General features: G+C 39.6%; 1 protein-coding gene and 1 long non-coding RNA gene across 8 annotated transcripts in view, besides 5 other annotated features; one reads left to right on the top strand and one right to left on the bottom strand.

Moving 5' to 3' along the window:
- The window catches only part of IRAK1BP1 (interleukin 1 receptor associated kinase 1 binding protein 1), a 111,861-nt gene extending 110,073 nt beyond the window's left edge, over positions 1 to 1,788 (bottom strand). For 6 of the 7 annotated variants that reach the window (XR_942279.3, XM_047418194.1, XM_006715336.4 and 3 more), the window contains exon 1: positions 1,448 to 1,788. Coding sequence is in view for 5 of the 7 variants with exons in the window: in XM_047418194.1 (XP_047274150.1) it covers positions 1,448 to 1,762 (315 nt within the window). In the remaining 2 variants the exon portion in view is untranslated. Of the gene's footprint in view, positions 1 to 1,250 lie in introns of all 7 variants that reach the window. The other variant, XM_047418193.1, reaches the window with a different exon arrangement.
- Positions 1,001 to 1,601: an enhancer, noted in NCBI's record as "H3K27ac hESC enhancer chr6:79577455-79578055 (GRCh37/hg19 assembly coordinates)". NCBI's record gives its function as "activates a minimal SCP1, AML or CMV promoter by ChIP-STARR-seq in naive H9 embryonic stem cells {active_cell/tissue: H9 hESC(naive)}" and the evidence as "EXISTENCE:reporter gene assay evidence [ECO:0000049][PMID:30033119]".
- Positions 1,001 to 1,753: a biological region, named in NCBI's record as "H3K27ac hESC enhancer GRCh37_chr6:79577455-79578055".
- Positions 1,434 to 1,753: an enhancer, noted in NCBI's record as "active region_24766". NCBI's record gives its function as "activates an Ori minimal core promoter by ATAC-STARR-seq in GM12878 lymphoblastoid cells {active_cell/tissue: GM12878}" and the evidence as "EXISTENCE:reporter gene assay evidence [ECO:0000049][PMID:35858748]".
- Positions 1,784 to 1,893: an enhancer, noted in NCBI's record as "active region_24765". NCBI's record gives its function as "activates an Ori minimal core promoter by ATAC-STARR-seq in GM12878 lymphoblastoid cells {active_cell/tissue: GM12878}" and the evidence as "EXISTENCE:reporter gene assay evidence [ECO:0000049][PMID:35858748]".
- LOC107986613 (uncharacterized) lies at positions 1,849 to 20,048 on the top strand. Its single transcript, XR_001744210.2, has 2 exons — positions 1,849 to 1,951; positions 18,576 to 20,048. It is a non-coding gene; the product is annotated as an uncharacterized LOC107986613 (long non-coding RNA).
- Positions 10,090 to 10,656: an enhancer, noted in NCBI's record as "OCT4-NANOG-H3K27ac hESC enhancer chr6:79568400-79568966 (GRCh37/hg19 assembly coordinates)". NCBI's record gives its function as "activates a minimal SCP1, AML or CMV promoter by ChIP-STARR-seq in primed H9 embryonic stem cells {active_cell/tissue: H9 hESC(primed)}" and the evidence as "EXISTENCE:reporter gene assay evidence [ECO:0000049][PMID:30033119]".
- Positions 20,049 to 22,419: the final 2,371 nt, after the last annotated feature.

Here is a 22,419-nt window from a genome sequence, read left to right as displayed (position 1 = left end):
CATGTTGGCCAGGCTGGTCTCGAACTCCTGGCCTCAAGTGATCCACCTGCCTTGGCCTCCCAAAGTGTTGGCATTACAGGCATGAGCCACCATGCCCAGCTTATGTTGTTTTATATATTAGAGACCTGTGAGCTCTTTTTATTTTATGTAAATAACTTAAAAACTTGTTAACATTATTCAAACGACTACAGCACTAGTAGCAGTTTTTTAAAACTATTTTTCTACATATTAAACCCACTTTACTCACATTATTTATAATTATCTGTATTTTTCTAAATTGTAAAATCATTTGAAGAAATCTTGTCCAAATGACTTTGTAATAACTTGTATGTTTGTATTATAAATGCAATTCAAATATCTTTTCTTGTTAAAAATAAGGACTTGCTTTTTCGGGGTATGGAATTTCTTGCAATAGACTGGAAGTAACAATGCCTGCACTTTTACCAACTCAATGTCATCCTGGATAAGTTACATCTCTGGCCTTTGGGGTCCTACTCTATAAAATGAGAAAACTGAAATCGTTGATCCCTATGATTTCTAATTTTCTTTCATTCTAATTATCGGCAGAATTGGAAGCAACTTACATTCTGGTTTCAGGAATACATGAGTTCAAATATTGCTCTACCTAAAGTTCAGAGCATTGTTTAACCTCTTTAAATTTGGAAAACAGGGATATTAAAACATGCCTAACAGTGCTATTGTGTGGATTAAATGATGGCTTCATTTTTTTTCTTGCCTTAGGAGTAGGCTTAAGGTAAGATTTGTTTAGTGATTTGTCTCATGGACATCTCCGTTAAGTAAGTAGAAGTATTTCGTATATGTGGTATCCACAATACTGGCTTGATTTTTTCTTTTAAGTTAAACCTAAGAAGGCCGAAGAAATTTTGGGGGAATCACTATAAAATGAAAATCATTATAAAATGAAAATGGACGCAACTTCTTCCCCACTTCCCAACGTTACTGTTTGCGGAACATACTCAAGAACCATTCCATGCAAAGTTTTACATGATCGGAAGGAAGCAGGTCGTGCTCTTCACTTGCCAATTCCATGGTGCGGAATAAAAACAAAACAAAACAAAATATTTAGTGTCCAGCACTCCACGTGGGCAAGTATTTACAACTAACATTTCAAGTTTTAACATTTCATCACTTTAAATTTAAAAACAAAATCACTGAAGCAAATATCCCCAGATAAAAACCTACCCAATTTGCATTCTTTTATTTTTAATTTGCCTGAGGCCAATAATTACCTTCGTCTAGGAGAAGAATGGGTCAAATATTCACTCTGCCAGGTCCTGGCGTCCCGGAGTACCTTTGCAACAAACGCGTCCTAAACGCTCCAGACCCTCCACATCTCCCTTCCCGCTAGGGGGGCCTGTGGGGCCCGACCATCTGCCAACCCTTTTGTGTCTTCCGGCTCTTATTTCCTCCCCCGCGGAGATCTCACCTGCACGCCCTGCTGCTGGAGGCTCTGCGTGATGTAATCTAGACGGCGACAAACGCTCTTTTTGGCCTCGGCTGCCGCCTCCTTGGTGCTGCTCACTCGCACCACCACCTGCGCCCGGTCAGGGCCCGCAGACACTTCTGAGGTGCCGCTTACTTGCACCTCGCGGGTAGCAGTTTGGGCTTGTGTTGAGGAGAGGGGGTGGCGTAAGCCCGGTAGCGTCTCTCTCCCTGAGGCCAGGTTGTTCTCCCGGCTCCGGTCAGCCCAGGGAACCAGTTCCACGAACACTCGGGTCGGAGGGGTCTTTTGCAGAGACATAGCGATGGCAGCTGGGTTTCCATAGTAACTACCGGCCGACGGCGGCCGAAGGGGCCAATGCGCACCAGGGCTTGCCTGTGCACGGCGCAAAGTATGCCGGGATGGGTGTGGAGGCCGCGGAACTTCTGGCGGGCGCAAGCTATATGCCTTGTTGATCTTGCCGCATCTTTTTTACTAGATGTCGGCTGAGTGAGTAGCTACAGTTTTTAACATGTTTAACTTACGGCCTTCAAAAATTGTTAGCGGACTTTCTCTGTTGCCTCCTCAGTGAGCTCTGCCCTTTCTCGCAACTCCTTGTCGTCCCACCGCGCCTCTGCACCTCAGAGGAAGGAGAAGAGTAGCGAGGCCGAGCGGGTTTTTAGATTTCTCTGTGATTACCCCCAGCCTTGTCTTTTCTGACTTTACCGTCCCCGCTTGGGGTACTGCTTTTTGAGGCTCCCTCGGCCACATTTTTGTGGTTCGTGAGAGGTTTCAGTTGAGGTGAACTTTTTGCCCCTGTGATCTTGGACAGTTTATGATTCTTCATATCTCAGTATCATCTTCTCTAAAGCAGGGTTGATAATATTTTTTATATTAGTAATATATAATATATTCTAATATATATAATATATTCTAATATATAATATATTCTAATATATATAATATATTAATATTATCAAAGCAATGTTGATAATATTTTTCACATTTGCTATGTGCTTATAAGGCGCCCATTGTATGTAGAGTGCGTTGCATATGGAAAGCAGAGTGAACATAATGGATGTTTGTAATGATAGCTATGGCTTTGGCATCATTTTTGTGTCTCCCCATTTTTTTCTAAAATCCCTGGAATGGTTCGGGCCTTGAATTCCGACAGAAGAGATTTAGGTGGTAGCAAAGCACGTCCAACATGGAGTTTGCTGGGCCTGCACAACTTGGAGCTTCTCTGTACCCTTTTCTTCAGAGAACTTTTAGAACACAACCCTCAACTTCCCGTCTTCTGGATTCTCTTCCTAGCACTAAGCAATGATCTTTGTAAAAATAGCCCCACTGACTTATACGTCTTTACTATCTGAATTTTATCAAGAGAATCGAGGGGGGAAAAAAGAATTTTGAATAACTAGTTCTAGAAGGACAAGAACTGTTCTTTTAAAAGGACCCTGAAAAGCTGACAGTCCTCTTGTAGTTTCTTCACCATCGTTTTTTCTGTTCTTTTCGATTAGTATAATTCAACTAAATCAATGGTACCCCCCTCCTTTAATTAGGCTCATCACTAGATTAACATAATTTTGTGTATATCCATCTTGTTTATTGTTAGCTGAAAACAATTTTAATTTAAAAACTAACGTTAAGAACTTTCCGTCATAGTCTTTTATTATTTAAGACACCCAAAATAATGTTTCTTAAACTTGGTGAAAAATTCTTTTTCCCTTACGATAAATGCGGAAGAATATAGCCTCCAAAATAAATTATTGAATGAGTGAATGTCATAAACAAAAAGCAACAGGAGTTAAAGTGTAAGTATTTAGTATACGATAAAAGATTTCATATCAGTGGAAAATGATTACATGGTACAGGGATAATTGTAAGCTATATATATAATATACTATAGCTATATAGCTATAGTATATTTTATATATATATATATTTTTTTTTTTTTGAGGCGGAGTCTCGCTCTGTCATTCTGGCTGGAGTGCAGTGGTGCGATCTGGGCTCACTGCAAGCTCCGCCTCCCGGGTTCACGCCATTCTCCTGCCTCAGCTCCCGAGTAGCTGGGACTACATGTGCCCGCCACCACGCCCGGCTAATTTTTTTGTATTTTTAGTAGAGATGGGGTTTCACCGTGTTAGCCAGGATGGTCTCGATCTCCTGACCTCGTGATCCGTCCACCTCGGCCTCCCGAAGTGCTGGGATTACAGGCATGAGCCACGGTGCCTGGCCCATTGTAAGCTATATTTTTAAAGAATTTGTATCTTATATCATACATTGAAAATAATTCAGATGAGACCAAAAAGAAAAATAATTGGAAGAACCTATATGTAAATATAAATATTCTGGGGGATGGGAAGGCTGGCCTTAATCATAATTTCATGTGCAGCAACCATGAAGGAAAAGTTTGAAAAATTGGACTATACTAAAAAAAATCAGTTATATAAAGCAAAATAAAAACAAAGGTGGGGGGGCAAATAAATGGGGAAAAATGTTTGTTAATGTTTATTATGTATAAAGGGCTAAGAGTCTTAATGCTTAGAGAACTGTTGCTAGAAGAAACAAACGTGTCAAAAGAAAAATAATGAACACTGAGGCAAACTGTATTAGATTGCTATTGCCATAACAAAAGTCTTTCGGCTTCAAAGACTTTGGAGCTTAAACAGCACAAATTTATTTTCTCACAGTTCTGGGGCCTAGAAGTCCAAGATTAAGGTGTCAGCAGTTTTGGTTTCCCCCAAGGCCTTTCTGGTTGGCTTGCAGACGGCTACTTTCTTGCAGCATCCTCACATAGCCTTGCCTCTGTGCACATTACCCCGATGTCTCTTCATAGAGCCTCACCTTTGTGACTTCCATTTAACCTTAATTACCTTCTTAAAAGCCCTGTTCCAAACACAGTCACATTGAAGAGCACTCCAACATACGAATTTTGGGGAACACAAGTCCACAATACAGACCAAGAAAGCAGAAATGTTAGTAGTCTATAGGATGAAAAAAAAAATAGTTTATCCTCACCAGTAGTTTAAGAAATGCAAATTTAACTACAGTGTAATGTCTGTTTTTGAACTATCATTTTGGCAAATAACAAAGCCCGTGAGAATGGAGAAGGAATAGATAATACTGGATTTTGAAAGAAGAATGAATTAATTCTTTGTGACAGAACTATAAATTAATAGTATATGAAAGAGAAGGATAAGCCTAAACTGACTTATGAAGTTTTCAGCTGGAATGATTGGGAGAATGAATGAAGAGCATAGAGCTATTTGTTCAGCTCATAGTAGCCCAGTTCTCTCTCAGAGTCAAGGCTGAGCCCCTAGCAACTGTTTTGAATAAGGTGACTCTACCAAGTTGATTGTACTAAGAATAGGTACCTAATTCCAGTTGAACCCGTTGGAATTTTTCACATGAGAATCTATATTTACACCAAATTTTAAAAATTTAGTCTCTTAGGTGACAGGGCTGTGACATACACTCATATATATATTTATGTAAAACCTTGGGAGATATAGATTGGCCATTTTTCTATTAGAGAAATAGAAAAAGTGTAGAGATGGGGTGGGGAGAAAGAGAGAGAAAGAGAAAATGATACTTTCCAAGAGGATCAGAGGTGAGATGGAAAAATAGTCCAGATGCAATTCCAGTCTCTTTTTTAAGAATTTTTTCTTAGGCCTGGTTTCATTCCTGCCCTGGAGTTCTCTAAAATATTCCTGTATCCTTATAAAAATTCCCCTCCCCCTTTTTTTTGCATAAGTAGCTTGACCAAGTTTTATGTTATCTTAAAACCAAGACTGATAAGAATAAATGAGAAGGAGAATTTAAAGCTGACTTTTATACCTGTCAGCCTGAAGGAATTTATAGAACTTCACACAAAGTGGATCTGTAGGTGCACTGCTCAAAGCTTCACCTTTTGGGGAAATTTTCCTTCTCCACTGTTATTCAGAGATTTTACAAGTGACGTTGTTCCACAGCTGCTTCTCATTTTTTACTGGCACCTGCATACCAAGCCAGCCTATCCATAATCTTGCCATAAAAGCTCAGGTTTTTTTCCTCCTCCTTCAGTTGGCCATAGAGTAATCCCTACATAGCCATTGGTGTGAGGTGAGGGAGGTGTTTTGGTGCAACCTTGGTGGGTGGCATGGGCGTCTGAGCTGCTTGCTCATGCAGCTTGCTTATACCCTCTGGTGCTTGTGTCTCAGATGTGCCATTATCTTTTTATCTGTTTCTGGTGGGGTATCTGACTTTGAGTTGAAGTCTCTGACAGTACCCAGCTTATGATGGGCAATTCCAAACATCTCAAAAATTAAAATCCCAAGTGTCAGAAGAGAATGGAATAATACATTCTAAATCCTGAGGGGGAAAAAAACCTAACCTAGAAGTGTGTATTAAGGTCCTTGCCTTGTTCAAAAAGATGTCAGATGTACTAAAATCACTTTAGACTTTGTTACACTTTATAATTAAATACTTATGGAAAATATATTGGTAAATGAAGAAGCCAAAAGGAACAGAAAAAAGGCTCAAAGGGGTAAGGGAAAGATTAAGATAGTACAATGTTGTGGAACCAAAGTTTGTATAATTGTCAAAAAGAGGTGATCCATAATGTCATGGTACAGGTCAAAAACTTGAAGATGAAGACATGCCTATTGCATGTAATATTTAGCAGATTTTTAGTGACCATTCAAAGAAATGTTTTACTGTTAACCAGATAGCAAAGGGTTAAGGAAAAGTGATTGGGAAAAGTAGAAAGAGATAAATATTTGTTAATGTTCTCTATAGTGAGTTTTTTTTTTTAAGTAATTGGATTTAGACTTTCCAGAAATGAAGTGAGGTATTATCCTATTTTATCTCACAAATAACCCAGACACTGGGTATAGCTTTCCGTCTAGGCTTTTATTTTATTTCCAGGTTTGTTTCTTGCTTTCTTAATAGGTTGCGGTTGTTTATCTTCTGGCACCTTAAATGATACAGGTAGAATAGGATGCTGTGTGGACCATGGGGATTTTTGCCAGTCAGCTTTGTTTACTTGTCTCTGCTGCCCCCTTACACAGGGTTCTAGTCTCATGATTACATCTTCACCTTGAAAGTTACAATTTAGTCCAGGAAAAGTGCTCTCAAGTGTATCTTGATATCTGAGTGAAAATAAACCTGAATCAGCCAATCCACTATATCATTTTGTTGTTAGACTGGGCTACCCTATATTTTGCTGTTAGATTTCATACCACCTGATTCTGTGTACATGCTTGACTGTCCTCTTGGACACCTCAAATTTTCAGAAAAGTTTATGGTTTAAATGTGTTTTCACTTTGCTCATTTTCGCTGTAACTCATTTCACATCACTGTTTTTCTTTTGTATTATCTGGCTTATTATTCTTGGTTTTCACATATCTAGCTGCATAATGTAACTACTTAACATTTTAATTGGTTATGGGAAGCACTGAATGCTTCATTTAATTAGTGGAGAAGTAATATTTTATAAATGAAGCTATGGTAGTAATAGTAACAAGTATTAGTTGTAATTATATCTTAACTAATTTACATCGTATCCAAGAGACTAAGAAATGTTTGACAGTTCTTTTCAGATTTAAGCTGTGAAACTCTCACTTTGATAAAGACTGCTTCTTCTTGATGTCTCTCCTTGAAAGCAGTGGATTAGAGGTAGCTTTGCCCACAGATATTTTAACCTCCCAAAAGTATTTAATTCCAAATTTTAATAGTGTCAAAGCTAACAGGATATTGCAGATACATAAGTTACTTAGGGAGGAAATCTTAATTTCTTGATATTTTATGTAGAATAAATAGTCAAGTTTATACTATAACATCCTGGCAAAATTGTAACAAGTAAGAGAAGACTGCTTACATAAATTCTGTGTCCATGAATACTATATTAGATGTTTGTAAAGAGTTATTGTAACTGTAATTCTCTAAGCATGCAGAAGGAAATGAAATCTTGATTAGATGGTCAGTTATTAAAGATCTAACAGGGCACAGAGATATAGATGATAATAAATTAGCAAAATTATCCAAGAAAAAAGATGGTGTCCAAAAAATTGACAAAGGGAAGATCCTGTAGTAAGAAAACATTGAATTTAGAAACTAGAGAAGCATAGTCTCATTTTACAGATGAACACACTAGAACCCAGAAAAGTTTTTCAAGTCATGTCCCCCAGGTTACCGGCAGAGGCAGTCTAATACTCTTTTCCACTCTGTCCTGCTGCCTCCCAGTAATCACTGATTATTTGCACTACTTACAGAGCCTATTGCTGCTGGCAAAGCTCTTTCTCAAAACAAATAAAAAAATCTACTTCACCTCTAGCCTTTTTTGATTCTTACAACACTGCTCTTCTTGTTCTACTTCCTTCTCTCTTGTCACGTCTTTCCTGTAAGTTTCACTGGCATTTCAGCTTGCTTCTTCTCCCTCTAATTTTTTCTTTTTTTGAGATGGAGTCTTGCTCTGTTGCCCAGGCTGGAGTGCAGTGGCATGATCTTGGCTCACTGCAACCCCTGCCTCATGGGTTCAAGTGATTCTCTTGCTTCAGCCCCCCAAGTAGCTGGGACTACAGGCATGCACCACCACACCTGGCTGATTTTTGTATTTTTAGTAGAGACAGGGTTTCACTATGTTGGCCAGGCTGGTTTCGAACTCCTGACCTCATAATCTGCCTGTCTCCCCCTCCCAAAGTGCTGGGATTACAGGTGTGAGCTACCGTGCCCGGCCTCTCCCTCTAAATTTATAGCTACTTTCATGGATTCAGTTTTCACCTCTATTGGCTCAATTTTTTTTTTTTTTTTTTTTTGAGACGGAGTCTCGCTCTGTCGCCCAGGCTGGAGTGCAGTGGCGCGATCTCGGCTCACTGCAAGCTCCGCCTCCCGGGTTCACGCCATTCTCCTGCCTCAGCCTCCCGAGTAGCTGGGACTACAGGCGCCCGCTACCACGCCCGGCTAATTTTTTGTATTTTTAGTAGAGACGGGGTTTCACCGTGTTAGCCAGGATGGTCTCGATCTCCTGACCTCGTGATCCGCCCGCCTCGGCCTCCCAAAGTGCTGGGATTACAGGCGTGAGCCACCGTGCCCGGCCTTGGCTCAATTTTCTTGTGTGTAGTATGAGAGAATTTGAGTTGCTTCTTTTTAATTCTAAAAGCTGAGTAAAGTTTAATACAAAATGATGAATGTTATAAAAGTCTTATTTTAAAAACCCGTTGTCTGACTAGACACCTTACCAAAGAAGTTAATACATATGGCAAATAAGCATATAAAAAGATACTGAATCTCCTATATCATTAGAGAATTGTAAATTAAAATAACAATGAGATAACACTACACACCTGTTAAAATGATCAAAATCCAAAACGCTGACAACTTCAAGTACTGATGAGTATGTGGAGCAACAAGACCACTCACTCATTTATTGCTGGTGGGAATGCAAAGTAGTACAGCAACTTTGGAAGACAGTTTGGCAGTGTCTTACAAAACTAAACTTGTTCTTACGTGAGATCCAGCAGTTGTACCCTTAGGTACAATGCACAAACTGTGGGCCAGGTGTGGTGGCTCAAGCTTGTAATCCCAGCACTTTGAGGCCGAGGTGGGCAGATCACCTGAGGTCAGGAGTTTGAGACCAGCCTGGCCAACATGGTGAAACCCCCATCTCTACTAAAAATACAAAAATTAGCTGTGTATGGTGGTGGGTGCCTGTAATCCCAGCTACTCAGGAGGCTTAGCCAGGAGAATTGCTTGAACCTAGGAGGTGGAGGTTGCAGTGAGCTGAGATCACGCCACTGCACTCCATCCTGGGTGACAGAGGGAGACTCTGTCTCAAACAAACAAAAAAACCCCACAAACTGTGGACTTAGGTGATAATGATGTGTTAATATAGGTTCATTGGTTGTAACAAATATACCTTTGTGGTGCAGCATATTGATAGGGGAGGTTGTTGTATCTGTGTGTGGAGGTAGGGAAGGCGGATATGGAAACTCTCTCTACTTTGTGCTCGGTTTTGCTGTGAACCTAAAATTGATCTAAAAAGTAAAGTTTAGGCTGGGTGTGGTGGCTCACGCCTGCACTTTGGGAGGCCTAGGCGGGTGGATCACGTGAGGTCAGGGGTTTGAGACCAGCCTGGGCAAATGATGAAACTCCATCTCTACTTGTAGGGGTGGGTTGCCCCTACACATCTGTGGGTGTTTCTCGTAAGGTGGGACGAGAGATTTGGAAAAGAAAAAGACACAGAGACAAAGTATAGAGAAAGAAATAAGGGGAACCGGGGAACCAGCGTTCGGCATATGGAGGATCCCGCCAGCCTCTGAGTTCCCTTAGTATTTATTGATCATCTGTGGGTGTTTCTCAAAGAGGGGGATGTGTCAGGGTCACAAGACAATTGTGGGGAGAGGGTCAGCAGACAAACACGTGAACAAAGGTCTTTGCATCATAGACAATGTAAAGGATTAAGTGCTGTGCTTTTAGATATGCATACACATAAACATCTCAATGCTTTACAAAGCAGTATTGCTGCCCACAGGTCCCACCTCCAGCCCTAAGGCGGTTTTTCCCTATCTCAGTAGATGGAGCATACAATCGGGTTTTATACCGAGACATTCCATTGCCCAGGGACAGGCAGGAGACAGATGCCTTCCTCTTGTCTCAACTGCAAGAGGCATTCCTTCCTCTTTTACTAATCCTCCTCAGCACAGACCCTTTACGGGTGTCGGGCTGGGGGACGGTCAGGTCTTTCCCTTCCCACGAGGCCATATTTCAGACTATCACATGGGGAGAAACCTTGGACAATACCTGGCTTTCCTAGGCAGAGGTCCCTGCGGCCTTCCGCAGTTTTTGTGTCCCTGGGTACTTGAGATTAGGGAGTGGTGATGACTCTTAAGGAGCATGCTGCCCTCAAGCATCTGTTTAACAAAGCACATCTTGCACCGCCCTTAATCCATTTAACTCTGAGTTGACACAGCACACGTTTCAGAGAGCACGGGGTTGGGGGTAAGGTTATAGATTAACAGAATCTCAAGGCAGAAGAATTTTTCTTAGTACATAACAAAATGGAGTCTCCTATGTCTACTTCTTTCTACACAGACACAGTAACAATCTGATCTCTCTTGCTTTTCCCCACACTACTAAAAATACAAAAATTGGCCAGGCGTGGTGGTGCATTGTTGGGGTGATCAGACCCAACACCAGGTCATGGGGGCGACGAAGTCTGGTGGAGCCAAAGGATTGAGAAAAAGATAATTTGAGAAATAAAGTGGGACCAGGGGGCCATCGCAATTGTGGAGGCTGCGAAGGCCCTGAGCTCTGGGAGCCCATGCTATTTATTGGTAATCCAACAAAGAAGCAGGTGATGAGAATGTGGGGGTCAAAAGGGCAGGCACATGATCTACAGCTGTGACGGTTTAGTATTTATATGGAACATGTTCTGGTACTTGAGATAATGGGAATACAATCGATCTAGGAGCCTAGGAGGGCTAGAAGCAAGGAGCCAGCAAGTCTAGACACATTCCAGAGGCCATTATGTCAGACATGCAAGCCCTGCCTCAGTTTTTTTTCCCAACACTCAGCTTTTTCCCAACATGCCCCCTTCTCTTTTTTGTAAAAGAGAAGGTATTATTACTATCATTATTACTAGCTATCATTATTACTAACATAAAAGGTGGCCTCTTTTAATTGAGCAAGGCAATTGCAGGCTGTGCAGCCCTAATTGCTGGTTGGTGATCCAGCTTCATTTTTCTTAGCCCTTATTCAAACTGGAGTCACTCTGGTTTGAATGCTTCACACATATCTCTCCTTTTCCTTTTACGAGAGGACCCTTAATCCTAGGGGTTGCAGAAGGATGAAGGTCCATCTTATGTAATTCCTTCATGCTGAATAGGGGTGATGATATTCCTGCCTAACTATTAGGCTCTCTTGTATTCAGGGTAGAGAGGAGCTGAGTCAGAAAGCATTGGTTCTTTAAGCATTGTGACTCTAGTTGGTCTTCGTTCCATCTTTGCATTCAGATTCAACTGTCTTGTACTGGGGGAACCCGGTCCATGGTTGGGATCCATGGGTCCCTCCAGTCTCCCGTTCCATGGTCGTACACATCTTGAGGGCATCCACAGGGTTCATTCATATCCTGCAAAAACACAAGCATACCCTCACCCCCACCTTAGTAAATCTGAAACAGAAGCAAAAACTTTTGTGGCTGTAGCCGGGAGGCCACTGATAATGAGGAACAGGCCCCTTGTAACACAAGGCACAGGGAAAGCAAATAGAGGCTTTTCAGACCTTCAGTTTGCACTGTACAGGTGGTCCCCTAGATGCTGTGGCTCATGATAAATCTTCAGATGTTTGGTGGGCACCCACACTGGCAGCTGATTGTCAACTGGAGAGACACAAGCAAATCCTCTTCCCCAAATAATTATCTTTCCTTTTTCCTTTTTCCCAGCTCCCTGCATGTGCATCCCTCCACCACATATCCTGTCCAGCCCCTTTTACCTTCCTTCCTTCCTGTCAGGCATTGTTCCGCTGCACCGTGGGTTGAATTACAGTATTAACAGCCCTTAAATCTGTTAACATTCTCAATTTCCCTGATTTTTTCTTATTGACAAATACAGGAGGATTCCAAGGGGAGAAAGTATGTTCTATATGACCCTTTTATAATTGTTCCTGCACCAACTCTTTTAAAGCCTCAGTTTTTCCTGTTTCAGCGGCCAGTGGTCTACCCAAACTGGTTTGGCAGTTAGCCAAACAAGAGGAATGGGAGCTGGAGGCTCAACAATGGCCACTCCTAAAAATGACACCCCAATCTGGTCTGATCTGTTTGTCCTTTTAATTCTAAAAGTTCTGATTGGCCGTATTTATCTTTTCCTAGTCCTTTTCCGTGGGCGATATCCCATATTTTTCATCATTCGTCTATTGTTATTATTATATTGACCCATAAGAATAGATATTTCAGCATGCCATTGTTGGAATAAGTCTCTACCCCATAAATTGACAGGAATAGGTGTAATGATAGGCTTAATTGTCCCTTACTGACCATCCGGCCCCTGACATGGTAAAATCAAGGAACTTTGAAAAACTTCCAAGGCAGCTCCTACTCCAACAATGCGAATGGATGCCTTTTGCTTGGGCCAATGTCAGAGCCATTGATTTATAGCAATAATAGAGACATCAGCTCCAGTATCTAGTAGTCCTTCATAATCTTTTCCCTGAATAGTTACTGTGCAAATAGGTCTTTTGTCAGACATTTGATTAACCCAGTATACAGCCTTTCCTGTTGGATTAGTACTACCAAAGCCTCCTGTTCTCTTCACTGTGCTGCTTCCTAGTTTTATGTAAGGTAACAGCAACAACTGAGCAATTCTTTCTCCTGGGGAAGCAGATCTCGGAGTTGAGGAACTAGTAACTAATTGAATTTCTCCGGTATAATCAGAATCAATTATTCCCATATGCACAGTGACACCTTTCAAATTTAACTCGACTTTCCAAGTAATAGACCAACTGTTCCTGCTGGTAAGGGTCCCCTAACTCCCATAGGGACCTTTTTTGGTGTGGCTCCCCAGGAAGTAAGGAGAGGGGAATTGTGCTGCAGAGGTCTACGACAACACTGCCTGCTGTGGCAGGGGACAATTGTACATTTGTAAGGGCACTGGCTGTGCCAGGTATGCCTTGGTTTGTTGAGGGGCTCAAGGCGGGCCCCTATTCCTGTTTCCTGAGAGAGGTTGTCCATCTTTGCTACTTTTAGAATGACATTGACTTGCCCAGTGATGGCTTTTTTCACAACGGGGACATACACTGGGACTTTTCTGTTGTTTGATGGTAGCTCTTGCCTTTTGATTTCCTTTTCTACATTCCTTTTTTCTGTGTCCAAATTGCCCACAATTAAAGCAAGAGCCTGAGAAATGGGGCATATTATTTCCGACTCTTAATCCAGCCATAGCCTGAGCTAAAAGAGTAGCCTTATGTAAGTTACCTCCAATGCCATCGCAAGCCTTAGTATATCCAGCTAAATGAGCCTTCCCTCTCAGGGGTCTAATAGCAGTTTGACAGTCTGCATTAGCATTATTGTATGCAAGAAGCTGCATTACAAATCTTGAGCTATTTTATCAGTTATGGTTTTATACACAGCCTCCTGGAGCCGAGCAATAAAATCAATAGGATTCTTTAGGTCCTTGTCAGACAGAACTGAAAGAAGGATATTTTTCCCCTGTAACATGTATCCTTTCCCATGCCTGTAAGCACACAGAGCGCAGCTGAACAATGGCAACATCCTCCATTACTGCTTGATTTTCTAATCGACCCCAATCAGGTCCGACTCCCATTAACTGTTCAAAGGAAACAGGCACAGGTGGTTGTGCTTGTGTATTTTCCCTTGCCTGAGTTTGAGCTTCATCAGCCCACCAGGTTTAAACTGCAAGTACTGAGATGGAGTGAGAATAGATTTTGTTAAAGTATCCCAATCATGTGCTATTAATCGATTATCAAGAGAAACATTTTTCATAAAGTTTGCACAAAAGGAGAGTTTGGCTCATATTGACTAATGGCTTGCTTGAATTCCTTTAACAGCTTAAAAGGAAAGGTGGTCCAATTAGCTATATTCTGTCCTCCCTGCTGGATTATAGTTACGGGAAATTGTCATGCTTCAAGGTCTCCCTCGGCTCTGGCCTTTTGAATAGAATTTTGTATAGCACCACCAATTGCTCCAGATTTTAATGTTGCAACTACAGGAGCAGTAAGTTTTGTAGCTAATTCATCTTCTCACCCATTAAGGGGAGAGAGAGGAGGTGGCCTTTCACTTAATTCAGCAGGTCGGCTAGTAAAACATACTTTTTTAAAATTTCTCTTTCTTTTATTTAATTTGCTTTCTTTTATTTAATTTCCTCTGTTTCCTGTTCCTCACATTCAGAATCTGAAGTTAGTTTTTTACACTTGTCCTCTTCCTCATCTGAATCTGCCTCATCATCTGTTTGAAATGGCTCAAGAGCTGCTTTTATTAGCGCCCACATTGACCAAACCGAGACTGGAATTTTTGCTCCATCTTTATATGCTTTTTTTAAATCTCTGCCAATTCTCTCCCATTCATCCAACTCTATAGTCCTTTGTTCCGGGAACCATGGGCAAAACTGCTTTACTGCAATAAAGAGTGATAACAAATTCTGAGTGCTAACTTTCACTTCATCTCTTTGTAGTAAATGCCTTCAGAAATTTAAACAAGCAGAATGTCTGCTTTCACTTTGTCCCATTGTTACCCTGGTTCTTCCGGAGTGCTCAGCTTTCCCACCGAGCTTCTTTTAGACGTACTTGGGTATCCTTTGACAATGCATCGTCCGCTTTCACACGCTCTAGCATTTCTTCACCAGGTCTTTGTTGCTCCACATTGGGCAGCCAGGAATGTTGGGGTGATCAGACCCAACACCACGTCGTGGGGGCGATAAAGTCTAGTGGAGTCAAAGGATTGAGAAAAAGACAGTTTGAGAAGTAAAGTGGGACCAGGGGGCCATCACGATCGTGGAGGCTGCAAAGGCCCTGAACTCTGGGAGCCCATGCTATTTATTGGTAATCTAACAAAGAAACAGTTGGTGAGAATGTGGGGTTCAAAAGGGCAGGCACATGATCTACAGCTGTGATGGTTTAGCATTTATATGGAATATGTTCTGCTACCTCAGATAATGGGAATACAATTGATCTAGGAGCCTAGGAGGGCTAGAAGCAAGGAGCCAGCAAGTCTAGACACATTCCAGAGGCCATTATGTCAGACATGCAAGCCCTGCCTCAGTTTCTTTTCCCAACACTCAGCTTTTTCCCAACAGTGCATGTCTGTAATCCCAGCTACTTGAGTGGCTGAAGCAGAAGAATTGCTTGAACCCAGGAGATGGAGGTTGCAGTGAGCCAAGATCATGCCACTGCACTGTAGCTTAGGCGACAGAGTGAGACCTGGTCTTTAAAAAATTAATAAAAATAAAAAACACGGTCCAATTTAAAAAAAGTAAAGTTTACTAATTAAAGCATGTTTTTAAACCAGCATTGTGTTTTTAAAAGGCAAAGGCATTTAGAGTAAAATGGCCTGCATTTTTAAGATTGGTGAGCTGTGTAATTCATCTCTTGTGAGGCCCAGTTGCTTTATTTTTTTATTTTTTATTTTTTTTTTGAGACAGAGTCTTGCTCTGTCACCAGGCTGGAGTGCAGTGGCACGATCTTGGCTCACTGTAACCTCCGCCTCCCAGGTTCAAGTGATTCTCCTGCCTCAGCCTCCTGAGTAGCTGGGACTACAGGTGTGCACCACCATACCCAGCTAATTTTTTTTTTGTATTTTTAGTAGAGACAGAGTTTCACCATGTTGGCCATGATGGTCTTGATCTCTTGACCTCGTGATCTGCCTGCCTTGGCTTCACAAAGTGCTGGGATTACAGGTGTAAGCCACTGCACCCGGCCTGCTTTATCGTTTATGTGTGTATATACATATATATTTATATATATATTTAATGGGCCAAAAATATTATGAACCAGTGGTACTAGAGTTCCACTTAGGGAACTGGGCACTGTCTTCATTTAGAAAAAATGCCTTGATAAGCTTATCTGAGTGTGGAAGGTGAGGCCTTGAGTGTGAGTTCTAGAAGGTGATTGCAATACAAAGAACTAAACAGTTGTGTACAAAGAAATGAATAGAGATGTGGGAGGAGAAATGCCAGAAAGAGAAGGGGGAGGAATTAGAGAAAAGGCCATGCAAGATAGATAGGAGGCTGAATCCTGTGGAGAAGGAGACAAATGCCTTGATAGCAATAGTGGCCATAACTTTAAAGACCACAGAAGTCTAATTTACAATGTTTAGTTGTTGGCATCTTGGCAATGTAACAACATGACTGTGTTGCATTGTGATTTGGGAGAAATCAAGGAAAGAAGCTATGTGTATAACAAAGATAAGGAGCATCTGCAAAGGGCAAGATATGTGAGATCAAGAGTTCAGCAAAAGTGGAAGACACAGTCAATTATGAGAAAGCAAGTCCATAGGATTAAGAACAATGGAATTTCCCACAGGAGCCTGTCTCAGAGGATGAGATTCCAGTTGACAGATCAGATAACTGGATTGACAGAATGGTTGTGCAGATATTTAAAGGTTTGCAGCACAGTGCTTGACACGTGGCAGTAAAAACTTAACGCACTCAACTTCAATGGTCTTGTATAGTCTGGCATCACAACTTTTGGAGCTGAGACAGCCTTAGCTTTGAGAATTATCTGAGCAATTAGTACAGAAGTTTTGATGGAACAAAGCTTTTCCATGATTTCTAACAAAGCATGGAGGAAAACTGCTTATCTGAAAATGCCATTCACCCAGTTAAGAGACAGTACCTGTTAGACAAAAAGATTTAACTGAAGTTGTGTGCCCATGAGGATAAAGTTATGACTTGTCATCTTTTTTCCCCAGACTTTTATGCTTCTCATACAAAGCATAAATTATACTTCTCATACAAAGCTAGAGAATATAATAAACTATAAGAACCATAGAAGATTGTCCGAAGGAGGCTTACATTAGATAAATAACATTCAGGGAATGACAATAGAACTGAAAAAGAAACTATATTCTCTCGGAAACATGTTCATAAAATTCAGTACATTCAAGAATACTGATTAATAAGATATAGAGGTGGATGAAGTGCTCCTGAGATGCAATGAATATAAAAATAGAGAAAAAACATAGAAAATGACTAGTAGTATCCTTGGATCAGCCCCTTTTCACAACCATAATCATTATTCTGTCATAGTCATAGTTTTCCTGTCTCTTTGCTTCCAGACTTTCCTTCCTGAACCAATTGTCTAATTCAGTGGCCACTAAAAGAGTTTTATCATTGGTATCAGCAATTTTGAGTCTAAAGTGATCTTTCATATCAAATTTAAGTTTCAAATCTGTGAACTTCAGGGTTTCCTATGAGTGGTTCCAGCACTTTTTACCTTACTGATCTTTTGATGTGCCTTGATTTCCATCTCATTTATAGCCAGATTAGTTTAATGATTTTCATATACACCTAACAATTTTATATACACTTCATAGCCAGCTCACTAGTCATCTGTCCAGAAGAAAATGTTCTAATTTCCTATTAGTCATTTCATGTTCTGTCCTTCCCCCATTATAATTAATTTTTGTTCACTCAGAAATATCAGGGATTAAATGATTCTGAATTTTTGGGCAATGTGGCTGATTTAATACAAGTAGTCTATGCAAATTATCAACATTGAATTATTTTATGATAGAATCTTTAATGATATTAAAACATAATGGAATTTCTGTTTTATAATAGAATCCTTAATGATAATGCTAAAACATAATAAAATAAAATAAAACAATAATTCAAAAGAAACTTCAGAATCTTGTAGTGACTTAGCCTCACCAATACAAACAATAATTATTATTCAATAGTATTGCAAAATAAACCCAATTGTTAAGATGTTCTAGGTGTTTTTGGCTTCTGGATAAATAAGAGATAAATAAATATTTTGGGAGGTAACAGATACTAGTCCTGCTAGACTGTAATTATTTATTAAACATCCTGGGGACTTATGTATTTGACTACTCAGCATTTTGGCAATGAATAACCCACCCCATTTGTTCTTTTTGTTTGTTTGTTGAAGGTTGATCTCAAGTCTCATAGACATATTATTTAATGATGCAAAGGGAAATTTTGGTTGTCTAAACTGATTTTCCCAACATTGCTCTTTTGTAATGGTGGGAGAGGACAGAAGATTCAATTCCTGTCATCTCTTGCTCATTTGCCTAATCCTTCTTCTGAGGTAAGTGTACATACTGAGATAGTGACAATTTTTGTGAGTTCTGCAACGTTGCCTGGAAAAAGCCTGGGCTTTGGTGTCCTACAGAATTGTGAATGCCGTTTTCTAGGTATGTAACATTGTAAAATTTAAGTGTTTCTGAGAGCCAGTTTTTCAGCTATAAAATAGAGATAAAATTTACTAGTTGCAGAGACTGTTAATGCTCACCAATATCCATGTGTTTTCCTTTTCTTCCTGGGCACAGTTAAACTATATTTTCAGCTTCCCTTGTAGGTTGGTGTCTTCATTGCTGACTTCTGGCACTGGAATGTGGGTGGAAATAAAGTGCACCACTTCCTAACTTAGCTCATGAAAATCTTCCATGTGCCCTCTTCTTTAGCTGGCTGACTGGAGAGGACTCCAGAGACCTATGAGAATGAATAACTAAGACAGAAGAGGCCTGAATTAAAGTTTGCTGTGAGTCCCTTGCCACCCCCATCAGTTGCAAACAAGAATTAGTATTTATTTTGTTAAGGCACTGAAACTTGGGGGATGTTTGTTTCAGCAGTTAGCCAACCCTGATTAATACACTTCATTGGATTATTATGAAGATTACATGAGGAATCTTTGTAAAGTGCCTGATATAAATTAGGTGTTTGGTAAATGATAGTTTTCATCACCATCATCCTTTACACATATAAACAGGTAAGCATTCAAGCATTGCAGGTGCTAAGAATTACCCACATGACCAGATTCTACAGGATCTGAACTGGCAGAATTGACATTTTGCTGCCACTATTATAATTAGACCCACCGTTACAATTTCCGCTATTTTTTAGTTGTATAGGTGGATAATTCATTTAATGATAGATTTTGAGGTTATATGTTTCATTCCTTTATTGGCTTGTTAGTTTTATCTAGTATAATCTTAACATATGATACCCCTAACTTAATTTGTATGTCTTATACCTGTAATTGTGTCACTATTCAAGAGCTAGGAGAGAGAGATGAGATCAATGATGTTCAACAGAAATCTGATCCAAGCCACATACTTGATTTAAAATTTTCTAATAGTCACATTAAAAACGGTAAAGAAAAAACCAGGTAAAATGAATTTTTTTTAAATTTTATTATTATTATACTTTAAGTTGTAGGGTACATGTGTGCAATGTGTAGGTTTGTTACATATGTATACATGTGCCAGAATTTTAATAGTATATTATTTAACCTAAGATTTCTAAAATATTATTTCAACATGTAATAAATATTATTTGTATTCTTTTTTGGTGCTGATTCGGAAATCAGTATGTGTTTTAAACTGACAGCACATCTCAATTGGACTAGCCTAATTTCAAGTGCTCAATAGTAACATTTATATAGTGGCTACCATATTGGACAGTTCAACAATAGATAATTCAGAAAAGAGCTATTACTACAGCTGAAAGAAACAAGAAATGTCAAAGTCACGTGCCACCAATACTGGGTTCGCCACATTTTCTTTGTACATGAAGGATAGCTTATTTTTATTGTTCTGGGGAAACAGATGAGGATCACATCACCAGGATGCTCATCCAGGAGATGAGCATTTTACATATGAGATGTTATTTATTGGGAGACACAAGTCCTGAACCTTCATTGTAGCTCCACCTGCTGTGGTACTTTGCATATAGAAGTCTCTTGCAGAGAGTCATTCATGGAGGTGATCAATGTTCACATAATTATGTGTTCAATATTCATACATTTATAATAAAAATATGTGTATCTCTTACAAGAAACCAAACATTCTGAGCTCATATCCTAAGGGAAGCCATGAACCTGAAATACAATAACCCTAAAATTTAAAAGCAATAAAAGTTTTATTTTTCTTAAGGAATAACTGTTTGTTATTACTGTTGGTCTCAATTTTTAAAGGAAATTTATTTTTTTAAATAAAATATAGACTTTAGAAATCTGTGTATTGAAATGCACATCTATCCTTGTTTCAATTATAGTGCAGAAACTAGTCATTTTCCAGTATACAAAAGGTAAAACAGAGTTTACTTCAAAGACATAAAAGTAAAACAGAGTTTAGTTCAAACATTGTAAACAATGTTTGAATACATAGTATGGTTAAAGGTGACAGGCAGTCACTTCTGGGAGGGAATAATATGTTGCAAGTTTGAAAGAGAATGGATTATTCAAGATGTCATATCATGAGAAGGAAATAGTATCTGATATTGAAAGCACTGAAAGAGAATTTAACATGTGCTAGAGAAACAAGAGATACATCTAATGCTTAGGAAAGATAGGGTTTTAGGACCCCTTCCTTATACCATATACAAAAAAATCAACTGAAGATGGATTAAAGACTTAAATGTAAAACCCCAAATTACAAAAACCCTGGAATACAACCTAGGTAATACCATCCTGGACATAGGAATGGGCAGATTTAATGACAAAGACACCAAAATAAAGTACAGCAAAAGCAAAAATTGACAAGTGGGACCTAATTAAACTTAAGAGCATCTGCACAGCAAAAGAAATTATCAATGGAATAAACAGATAGCCTACATTCTGGGAGAAAGTATTTGCACACTATGCATCTGACAAAGGTCTAATATCCAACATCTATAAGGAACTTAAACCAATTTACAAGAGAAAAACAACCCCATTAAAAAGTGGGCAAAGAACATGAACAGACACTTTTGAAAAGAAGACACGTGTGGCCAACAGGTATATGAAAAAAAGCTCATTATAACTGATCGAGACCATCCTGGCCAACATGGTGAACCCCGTCTCTACTAAAAATACAAAAAATTAGCTGGGCATGGTGGTGCATGCCTGTAATCCCAGCTACTCGGGAGGCTGAGGCGGGAGAATTGCTTGAACCAGGGAGTCGGAGGTTGCAGTGAGCCAAGATCGCACCACTGCACTCCAGCCTGGCAACAGAGAGTGAGACTCCACCTTAAAAAAAAAATACTGATTCACTTTTGCAATTTTTCAGATACTACTTGATGTGACACCTCCCCTAGGCTTGCTGTGGGTCTCTTGGAAGATAGAGCTATATTAACTCCTTGACTTAAAGGGCAGCAGACTATATAAGGTCTCTTTACAGACAGAGTAGGGAGAATAATGAAAAACTTTTTGATTTCTAGAGAGAAGAGAGAAGACATAGCAATGGAACTGTTCTTAGCTTTGTTTGCTACAACTCTTCAAAGTTTAATTTTAGATTCAGTGCATTTATTCATAGAGCATGAAACATATAATCATGCCTTTTACTAATTGCGGATACTTAAAATTATATATTTTTGACCTACTGTGTTATGGTCAATTTGAAAAAGAATGGTTTGATTATATATTATTGTCTGTAGATTCCCTGTACTATTCTAGGATCATATGACATATTATCATTACTAAATATAGCACTAATTATTGATGCTCCCTATGGTATTTAAAACTAATTTAATTATAATGTTTCCCTAAATTCATATTTTAATAAAGCAGAAGAAACTGATTACATTTGAATGTACAAGCTTATATGCTACTAGAAACAATTGTTTTCTAAATTCCTTAATTTATTAAAAAAATAGCAATGGCTCTCTTAAGGAGCCATTTGTGCACTGAGTATAGAAAGGTGTATAACTGTATTAAAATTTAAGGCAATGCATATTTTTATAGCTTCCTTATCCCCAAAACACTTCTGTATTGGCTGGTTCACATACAGAAAATGATACCTTTTCCTGCTGACCAGAAACTTCTTCAGATTATCTGGTGACTTAAGAGACCTTAAACAAACATTCTTAAGCAGTAGTTCCCAAAATAGTTACTTTCTAAGTTATATTCTTTAAATGTCATGGTTCTTCACATGATTGTAGATGTGTATTAAAGAACTTGCTTCCCCAGGGTCCATGTGCTAGGTTGTTATTATTTTCCCCAATTATTCACTGAGTTCCCCATAGGAGGATTGTACTTCCCAGCCCCAGGGTTGGCCATGTGCTTTTCTTTGACTAATGGGAACATGAGTGACTTATATGTTGTCTAACCATAAACTTTACTTGCCATCAGTCATTTCACCATTGCTTTTTTCCCTGTGGCACAAGAATGGTGTGTCATAGAGAATGTTCCTTCAGCCTGGATCCTGGAATGAAGAAAACGTGGAACAGAGTCACAGCCCACCTGCAGTCAATATGGAACATAGGCTGGAAATAAACCTTTTTTGTAAAACAACAGGATTTGGGGGTTGATTTTTACCACAGCAGAAACTT

This window comes from Homo sapiens, chromosome 6, assembly GCF_000001405.40.
Source record: "Homo sapiens chromosome 6, GRCh38.p14 Primary Assembly".
Classification (NCBI taxonomy): Eukaryota; Metazoa; Chordata; class Mammalia; order Primates; family Hominidae; genus Homo; species Homo sapiens.
Note: the sequence above shows the minus strand (reverse complement) of the source record. Positions and strands in the feature narration are given on the sequence as shown.